Source organism: Homo sapiens, chromosome 14, assembly GCF_000001405.40.
Source record: "Homo sapiens chromosome 14, GRCh38.p14 Primary Assembly".
Classification (NCBI taxonomy): domain Eukaryota; kingdom Metazoa; phylum Chordata; class Mammalia; order Primates; family Hominidae; genus Homo; species Homo sapiens.
This window is the reverse complement of record NC_000014.9, coordinates 47,702,876-47,713,508: the sequence shown is the minus strand read 5'-3', so window position 1 is coordinate 47,713,508 and position 10,633 is coordinate 47,702,876.

Sequence of the window (10,633 nt, the reverse complement as noted above, 5' to 3'; positions counted from 1 at the left end):
GTGCTGTTGTCTCCTGCTCAATAGAGACCCTTTCTTTCCCTCTAGCCACTCCTCTAAAGCCATGTACAGTGGAGATATGTATACATCAGTTAGTGCTTTTAACCTTCCCCCAGCAAGTCAATATTTTCCTAAGATTTAAAGAAGTAGCTGTTTCCTCCAAGGCTTTTTTTCTTAGTCTCTAAATCTTAAGTTGCAAATAATGGAATCTAAGTTTAAAACCATGCTTCATCAGAAATACTCTCAATGTACTAATGGAACACATTATCATTGCTGATTATTATTTTCTCTAATACCATAAAACCTCTTGATTATTTCTAATACTCATATAATAAAATATATTTTATATTGGTAACATCAGGTAAATAAGTTGTTATGGATATCAAAAGTATGACCAGTACAAGCCAGCGTTTTATATTGCCTCCCACCTTAAAAATTACACTGTTACACATTGATATCCCTGAAAACAAATGTGTTAATACATATCACTCTGAATCATTCACAGTGATATTACTCAATTAATTGTTTATTTAATTACCCTATTTGGTAATCAAAACAGGTGTACAGGAACCATATCATGCAGTAATTAAGCTGCACCCCTATTAATACGTGTGTCTAAAGATTTTTTCACACTTTGTTATTTGACTAAGGCTATATCTTAGAGACTTAAATAAAATTCACTCAATATTTCTATAAAGCTTTTTGAAAATAAATATATTATATGCATAACAGATATTTTTGTATTTGGGGGCCTGCCTAGTATCTGTGCCTTTTCCTATGTTTGGAGACTTCTCCATTGTATAAGTCTTGACTGGAAGCAAATTTCTACCACAATTATAAAAGCCGAAAGCATAAGATTCTAACTTACCAATTTCTTCTGACAGATAGGATTCCAGAATGTTAGTCTAGATTTGGCCAAGCTTATGAAGCTCCTCGGTGTGTGAGTCTTGAGCTAATACACAAAGACTTGGGCATCATAAAGAATTCTTTATAGCAGAGACAGTAAGTGTAAGGTTTTAAAGACAATAGCATTTGGTGCCCAGTGCTTTTATTTTTGGCAAGATGAACTGTGGAATGGTGTTTTTACCAATGAAAGTAGTAATTCTGTTAGGAAAGAATTTTGGCTCTTTATTCTTATCAATTTTAAGACCTTAGGCTTCTTCTATTCTGGTATTTATGTGAGATCCTTGACATCCTTCCAATAAAGTTATTTTTTATTGTTATTAAGTTGCCAAAGTCAGATTATGATGGTTGCACATAAGAAACCCAACTGATAACTTGGTACCTAAAGTGATGCAGCAGAATCCGAGGAAAGCAAGAGCATCTTGGAATACTTATTTGGCTGGACAAAAGTAAAAATATGGCAGAAGCGACACTGTCTTTAGGCATAGCTCTTGACTGCTTTGAGATCTCTCATTTTCCTTTTGAAAGTTTGCTTTTAAGATGATACCTCTGGGAACACACCTTCCATACTGGAAGCCCAGAAGGTCATATGTAGATACTATAGTTGAGAGCCCTAGATGCACTCCCAGCATCAAATACTACCCCTGTGAGGGAGCCATCTTGGACATTCGGCACAGTAAAGCCTTCACATGACTGTAGCCACGTGGGATAAAGTGACATTCCAAGAGGGAATCATCCACTGATGCTGTCAAACCATGGAATACTAATACATTGCTGAGTAAAGCTATGTAGTTTGTGGGTATTTTGCTATACAGCAATAGATACATAGAAGTGACATATCAGTTAGCATCCAACAAGAGATAGAAACCACAACATCAATTTGAACAGGGAAAATGTAATATAAAATCTGTTAATTAGTAAAAAGTGGTTAATCTCAGCTCACTGCAACCTTTGCCTCCTGGATTCAAGCAATTCTCCTGCCTCAGCCTCCCAAGTAGCTGGGAGCCTGCCACCATGCTTGGCTAATTTTTGTACTTTTAGTAGAGATGGGATTTCGCCATGTTGGCCAGGCTGGTTTCGAGCCTTATTTCACATTGGTTATGTGCATTTCAGGCAAGGAGACAATCTGCAAATCTAAAGCAGTCCTTATTTTTGTTATTGCTCGTGAAGAGGTATCTATGACTTGCTTATCTTAATCTTATTACACATATTAAGTTAGATTTCCTTTCCAAACTCAGCTGGTTGTGGTGTTTTATCTAGTGGGTGAACAACCATTTCTGAAAGGTTTGAATCCTTAATGATTTTGGCTTTTTGATTTTATTGTTGTCATTTTCTATTAGCACTTAACATTGGTCATGGAAGTACTTAAAGGCACCTGCAAGAATCCCCTGGGTTCCAGACATAATCCTCATTGGCCTATTGTGCAGCAACAAATTCATGTCCCTTGAATTATTAGGATCAATCACTGCACCTAGTGGAGTGACACCTTTATTTGTTTACACACTCAGCAGCATGAAAAACCCCCAAAATATGCAGGCAACACTCTATGCTTCAAAGGGAATTGAAAGCATTATTGTGTTCCCTGGTGAAAGCATTCCCTTTTTGGGAATTAAGACCTCAAGGTTTCCAGGGTGGGAAACAAACATTCTGTGTCTGCATAATTAGGTAAAATCATGAGAGACACCAATCCCTAGCTTTGATATTCCAGCCTATGTTTCTGGTGTTAGGCGAAACAGAAATATGTAATATTGTCTCTGACCTAAATTATATACTTCATCCTATGAGACCACATTTTTTCAGAATAGTGTCACACATTATTACTATCAATGACTCTTCAGTAAAGCATTCTACCTTTGTATTTGGCCAACTACTTGAGTGAGAGAGTATGTAACAAGGCTGATGAACTCTGTAAGACCATTGTAGTTTATGTTGAGAAACTAGTGCCTTGATTAGAATCAATGCCCTGAAAATCTCATAACATTGATTAACGTATTATGAGACTGCAGATAGTGGTGCTAGGAGAAACATAACGAGCACTGAGGGCAAAGCCATATCCAGAAAATATTTTTAATCATGGTGAAGTTAAATTTCTATCTCCTCCCTCATGTAAAAATGTAATATATCTGCTTCCAAATGGCATGCTGGTCCACATGAGGAAAGGTGCTATATAGAGAACTCATTGTTGGTCTATGTTACCAGGAGATTAGGCACTCAGCGGTGGCATTATTCATGTCAGCTTTGGTGAAAAGGAAGCCCTCTTATTGAAGTCCATATTTCATCCCTACTGCTATGATCTCTTTGTTCACGGGCCCATTGAGTGAGTACTGGGATGGCTAGGGAAGGAAGCTAGGGAGGAGTACTGGTAACCATGGAGTTATTTGCCTACTTTGTAATTTAAGGTATCTTCCAAAGTGCATGCCTTTTGGTAGGCATTCACAAAAAGCAAAAATATCTTCACAATATGTTCCTACTCGAGATATCTGTCCACATGTCTTCCCAAGAATTTCTTCTAACCAATTTGTCACTCCTTTCACATCCCTAATCATCCAGTCAAACTACTAACAGCTATATATCAATCATTGTAGTCCTTAAGTCTAGATATCTCCCATTCCATCCAAAGCAGACAGCAAAATAAATTGCTTGAAGTTCTGCCTAACGGGAGGTCACACTTCACTGCTGCCCCTCCAGGGTCATCTTTGTGGGACTGAAAGTCTGCTGCTGGTCACTTTTAGGTGCCATAAGCATATCATCCAGAACCATCCAAAAAATATTGTTTTCTTGCTTTTAACCCCTCAGTCCATGGATCATAAGTAACTCCTCATGAGGCCAGAAGTGCGGTTTGAAAGAGAGGAAGCGATGCTGCAAGAGTTAGTTCCAAGTAAGTGTGAACCACCTGTTCATGCAACGTATTAGTACCTCTGGGACCTGCCTGAGCCCAGTTTCTAATATACTATGTCCATTTGATGATTATTGCTTTTGCTCATGCCCATCCTTTAGTCTGGTAGATCAGAAAATGACTAGTTCATGATTAAAAGATCAGACCTCATGGTACCTGATATTCCACACTTAGCACTGAGTCTTTACCAATGCTAAGTAGCAAGCCAGAAGCTCTTTCTCAAGAGGAAAATAGTTATCTGCCAAAGAGGGCATGGGTTTCCTCCAAAATCCTTAAGGAATTTTTAATCCTTTGTACTGCAGTTCTCCAATAGGTTTTTGCCAGGTTCTCCATACAGTATTCCTATTTGCCACAGGTGATTAGAGTATCACTGGATTGCCATGATTATAGGCCCAACAGAAAAGTCGGATTGTACTGAAGGGTAGATTGCAACAGAGCCTTCTTTTCCCCTGGGAGACCAAACTTACAGGTAATTTGGTACAGAAACACAGAAATGTGGCACACATTTCTTCCAAATTAAAAACAACAACAGCAACCCCACCAAACACTGCCTTGTGTACGTGTGTTGGTGGGGTGGGGGGTGGGGGCAGGGGGTAGTTAGGCAATGTGAAGTAAAGTAACCTGTGTTTCAACTTGAAGAATATATCTTGTGCCCCAGACCATTTGACTTACAGAAACTATACTGACGTGAGAAGCCCCTGAAATTTTGTGGGGTTTATCTCTGTCTCTCTGGCTCATCTATGTATTACTAAGATATCTAAAGAATTTACTACTTCCAGCTCATCCAATCCAATATGAACAATAACATCAATTTGTAGAAACAATGTGATATTTTGTGGAATCTGGTGATCAATACCTCTGAAGACTGTATTATGCACAAAGGAGGGGAAGAGACGTAACCCTGAGGTATGGCTGTGAGAATGTACCATTGATCTTACTAGATGAGACCAACTTCTGATAGTCCTTGCAATTTTTGCATGGAGAAAAAAGGACTGGTTAGGTCAATATCTGAAAACCAAGTTTTAAGTACTATATTGATTTTTCTACTAAAAATATTATATCTGGATTATTGGCTGCAAACAGAGTCATCAAAGTCATTCTCTAAGATCTATCCAACTTTTGTGTAGGTCAAATAGTCAAGTTAAGTGAAGATGTGATAAGTATCACCACCCTGCATTTTTACAAGTCTTTATGATGACAGTACAAACATTTTCAAAGCCTTCAGGCATTGTTTCTTGTTTAATATCTGAATAGGGAGAAAAAGGCCCAGTGGCTTTCATTTAGACCTTGTTACTATTGTGGCCTTTATGCATGGGCCACAAAGCTAGCATGGATTTTGCCATTTACCAAGTGCGTCTTTTCTAATATATATTCAGAAACTGGAAAAATAGCTATGGAATTGATCTGTAGACCAACTAGGAGCCCATTGTGACAAAATGGGGCTAAGACTTCAGCTTTCCCCTAACTACCATTACCTCCCGCTTTGTCTGGTGAACAATGGCAACAAATTTTGAAGGGTTCTGGGCACAATGGAGTCGAAAAGCTGCTAGAGAAACTTGCTAGAAGGCAAGGGCTCGTAGCCTATGAAAGTTGATGCTGTGATGAATAATAGTAGGCTCCCTACATAACAATCCACTAACTTTTATGTGGGACAAAGTGTATAGGGAAAAGGAAAGTTCTTTCCTCCTGCTCTGATCTTGCAGTGACCTTCTAGTGTCCATTACAGCATCAAGTCAAAGTCTACAATCTCAAATCCAGTCAGCTCAGTAGTCCCCCCAAATCACATCATCTGAATCTGTTAAGTAATCCATTAGGTATAGCACCTGGGAACAATTCCTCTCCATCTATGAATAAGTGACATTAAAAAGACATTTTCTCTACCCAACCACAATGGAGGGACAGGCATAGCATAACAGTTACAGACATTATGGTTCAAACAGGGAGGAAATGGAATATAGTAAGCGTTCTAAAATAGTTTCAAAATCAAGCCCAGCAAGCTCCATATGTTCCACCACCTGGAGTAATTCTTTGTGGCTCTTGACTCTGTCCTCTGGTCTCTGCTAACCTCACAAATTATCCTTCCTTTTTAGTGATAGTTAGCAGGATTTGCAGGTGAATAGTTTGTTTGTTTGTTTTTTTAATTCAAAGGTGTAGAAATTTATTTTTAAATGTAAACACAGTCCTAATATTATTTAGAAACTACATGGAAAATGAAAATCACAGAGTGTCAAAACTGCTTTGCAAGTGTTAGTTTAATTTCAGGACTAAAACATCAGGAGAATCAATCAAAATACATGATTTGAAATTCACATTCATGTATTTCCCATGACTTCATTATGAGACTGTATCAGTCAGGATAATCTAGACAAAAGATTAGCAAATAAGGCTCCATGGACCAAACCTGACTTGCCAACACCAACTTTTTACTTTGCTTTTAATATTTTTATTGTGGTAAGAACATGTAACGTGAGATCTATTATCTTAACAAATCTCTAAATATACAGTATAGTATTGTTAAGTATAAGCAAAATGTGCAGCAGATCTCTAGGACTTACTTACTCATCTTGTATAACTGAAATTGTATACAACTTGAACAGCAACTCCCCACTTCTCCCTATCCCCAGCCCCTGACAACTACCATTCTACTGTTTCAATTAGTTTGACTATTTTAGATACTTACATAAGTGGAATCATGCAGTATTTGCCCTTATGTGACAGGCTTATTTTATTTAACATAATGTCCTGCAGGTTCAGTCACGTTGTCACACATGGCAGATTTTTATTTATTAATGGTCAAATAATATTCCATTGAGTGCATATACCACATTTGTATTTATATATCCATCCATTGATAGATATTTAGGTTGTTTTTAAATCTTGGCTATTGTGAATACTGAGATGAACATAAAATAAAAATAAATTTTTGAGATTCTGACTTCAATTCTTTTTTTTGAGATGGAGTCTGGCTCTGTCACCCAGGCTGGAGTGCAGTGGCATAATCTTGGCTTACTGCAAGCTCTGCCTCCCAGGTTCAAGTGATTCTTCTGCCTCAGCCTCCCGAGTAGCTGGGATTACAGGTGCATGCCACCACGCCTGGCTAATTTTTGTATTTTTAGTAGAGATGGGGTTTCACCGTGTTGGTCAGGCTGGTCTTGAACTCCTGACCTTGTGATCTACCTGCCTCAGCCTCCCAAAGTGCTGGGATTACAGGCATGAGCCACCGCGCCCAGCCGGCTTCAATTCTTTTAATAAATACCCAGAAGTAGGATTGCTGGATCATATGATAATTCTATTTTTAATATATTTAGGAGCCACTATACTGTTTCTCATAGAGACTATGTTACTGAACCATGAGAGGTTTGGTCTAGGTCCTGCTGCTCCCGCACAGAAAGCCAATCAGAGACAATGATTATTGCCAAGGAAGGAGAATTTAATTAGGTGCACAGTGAAGGAGATGGGAGATCAGTCTCAAATCCAACTCCCTGACCAACTAAAATTAGGGGTTCGTATGACAAGGAAGAAATTAACTATGTATGGAAAAACAGGAACTCAGGAGGAGTAAGAAGGCAATCATAATGAATGAGGGGCCTGGTTCTCATTGTCTAGCTGGGATGTTTCAATTCTTTGATAACTTTTGAGAGGTCTGGTTTTTCATTGTCAGGATCTGCTAAGTTTCAGGCTTAAAACCAGAAGGGTCAATTTCTATGTTTATCAAAAACAAAACAAAACAAAGCTGTCTATGGGACTACTGGGTCGGTTTCAGTCCCCTCTTTGTATTGATTGATTCCTTAGATGACTAAGGGGAATCTGGTTGTTGATTTTTCTGGCTGCTTTATGCTGAGAAGGGGGTGTCCTTTGCAGCTGCATACCATGGATGACCACGTGACCACCCAGGAATCAAAGGTTAATCTAATACTGTAGTTTTCTTCTGAAAAACAATCTTTCTCTCTCTAGTCCTCCACTTCTACCAAAGACTAATCACAGCAGGACTAACTTACTTACCAAATAATCTTCAGTCTCATATACTTGGACTGATTACCCACACAAAGTGCAGCAAGAATCATTGTCCACAAAGGCTCTTCTAAATTGGCTTTGCTGGAACCTCTCACAAGGTCATTTCAGTCAAAACCATGGGAAAATAATCAGTTCTTTCAACTGTGTCCCATTATAAAAGGAAACAGATTCTTATTAAATGTATGCAAACAAACACATTGCCATAAATTAAGAATCACAAATAGTTTACAAATTCTGGGGAAATTAGGCAAAGAGAGATAAATATGCCTCAAATTCTGTATACTCTACTCAGTATACCTAAAGTGTATTTAAAAGCTATAAATAGCTCAAAAAAAGTTCTCCAGACCCTGAAAAGCAAAACAAAAATAATCACTGATATTTCAAATTTAAAAAGCCATAAAAATTATTTCAGTTCTCCATTAGTTCAGTCTATTCAACAAACTCCTGCTCTGCTTCATATTGGTTTAGTAGTCTTTGTGAACACATTAGTCTTTTAATTAGGGTCCTGGAAGTTTTCTCTCTAATCCAGTGGCACAATTTCCAAAGTTAGGAGAAACTTGCATCCAAGAGTCCTTTCCATGAGCTCCCCCAAAGAAGCAAGCTCTGGACTGTAATTGATTATAAGTCACTTTTGGGAAGAATCAACACAAAACAATTGTGGATGACAAAAGTCTTAAGGCAGCCATAAGTAAAGACACAGTTAACAAGGAAATTTTGTTATTTCTGTTGGCATACAACAATTTAAAATAATAATTGTAATCATTACTGACAATATAAATTAAGACACATCAGAATTTCAGGAATGTTACATAATCCTGGAACATATATTAATAACACATCTATATAAATATAACTCAAATGAAGCTAAATAGCACCTCACATTTGACAATGCTTCCTGTATAATTTTTACATACCAAATAGCCTAATATGTTTCACTCGGACTTCAGGGGACCCAATATCCAAAAACAGTTACTTTGAGGTCAAAAAGACTGAATTTAAAACTAATATTTTGCTGCTGGAAAATATGTCAAATATTAAAGTTTTAAGATACTTGATATCACAAAATAGAATCACAAGTTATTCTAAAATAGTCATTCATTTAGCCAAGATGATAATATGAAGACATTTACCCTTTGATAGTGAGTAGACTCAATTTCCCAAACAATAAGATCTAATAAAGATAGCATGAGGCCAAATAAATCTTTTTCTCCCCCATCCTCTTTTCTCCCCTGAATTTTACTCATAAGGTAAACAAAAATCTCTTATTATCCCTTACATAAAAATTTTTTTCAGAAAAGAAAACCAAATTGTACCTTTGTATAGTGTATTATTAATGTTAAAGCTAATTTTAATAAAATCTTATAAACAACTTATCTAATTTTAATCAGTTTGACCATAAGGTAAGATTTCCATAAACCTTTTATAAACTTTTACAACTTGCTATTAAAGAGTAGATCAGTGCTTCAAGAAAACCCTGTTATTCTGACATATGGGCTCCAACACTGGCTTTGCATCAGTGTGCTTTTGATATTAATATTTACTTTATAGAAAAGCTCTGATCTAATTTTACCCCTCAAAATTGACCCTTACAATTTTACATGCCCACCTCTTCTGTGATAGTCCCTGAGCCTAGATGGATTGAATGGTTGTAATTTCTGGCCCTGTGTCTCACAAGAGCAGTTCATTTTTATTGTCACTTTCTCACAGGTTTGAAGACAAGACTTTGACTTGTGTCAATGCTCAAGATTTATCTGAAGTAGGTGACTTTTTCTGACCCGGAAGTCAAAGCCTGTAACTTAACAGCACAAGAATTAGTTAATAGGATATTTATATTATAGAAAGTCCTATAATTCCCTCTAACATGTTACAAGTTAAAACATTGTAATTTGGAGTGCAGGAGTTACTGCCTGCAGCACTTCAAATCACTGTATGAAAGCAATTAGGTTACTCATTGCATATGTCTAATTGCTAGCATTCTAGTAACAGGACTGTGACAAAAAACATAAAAAATATGATAGGTCCTACGCCAAACTTAGCAAAGTAAGACAACTAATGTTTCTATCCATCATTAAAAAATGGCAAATGCAAATATCAGCTTTGGAAATTCAATAGGAAGACAAATAATCTTTCATTTAAATACCATACAACAAAATGGGGATGAAGTAAGAACAAGCACACGGTAATTTCTTTTCAGCTATTTTGAAAGAGCATCATCACACATTACCAAGATTAGTTTCCAGATACAGTACTGACAACTGATTAGGCAATTTCCACCATTAAAATCTTCAAACCAGTGCAACACTTGCATATATTTTGTTTTCAAGTACATACATGAAGCCACATCAGTGATAAATGTCTTGGGATAAAAAAATCACTAAAAGTCTCACATATGTTTATTACTACTTAATCCAAGTGAACATCACTACATTTCAATATTAGCAAAGACAACAAAATCAGTTTGAGAGAAATCCCAATGAACATAATTTCCTTACAGACAAGGCCAATCTTTGCAGAACACTAACACTGTGTACTTATATCACAGATTTTCTTCATTACTTAAAGGAAAAGATTCAAAAACAACTCAAATTATTGATTAAATTGAATTATCTTGGAAATAAACATGATTTAAACATTTTTATTCTCACCTAACAAATAACAAAATAATGTACTATTTTGGCTTAGAACTTGTAAACAAAAGTCTTTTATTTTTATTTTACATTTTGCTGGGAACCTTAAAGCTCATACCCTCTAGATCACCAGAAGTAAACAAAATCAATCAAATTTTAAGTGGCTGGTGTCGTCTATCAATTTTTTGCAGGCTGA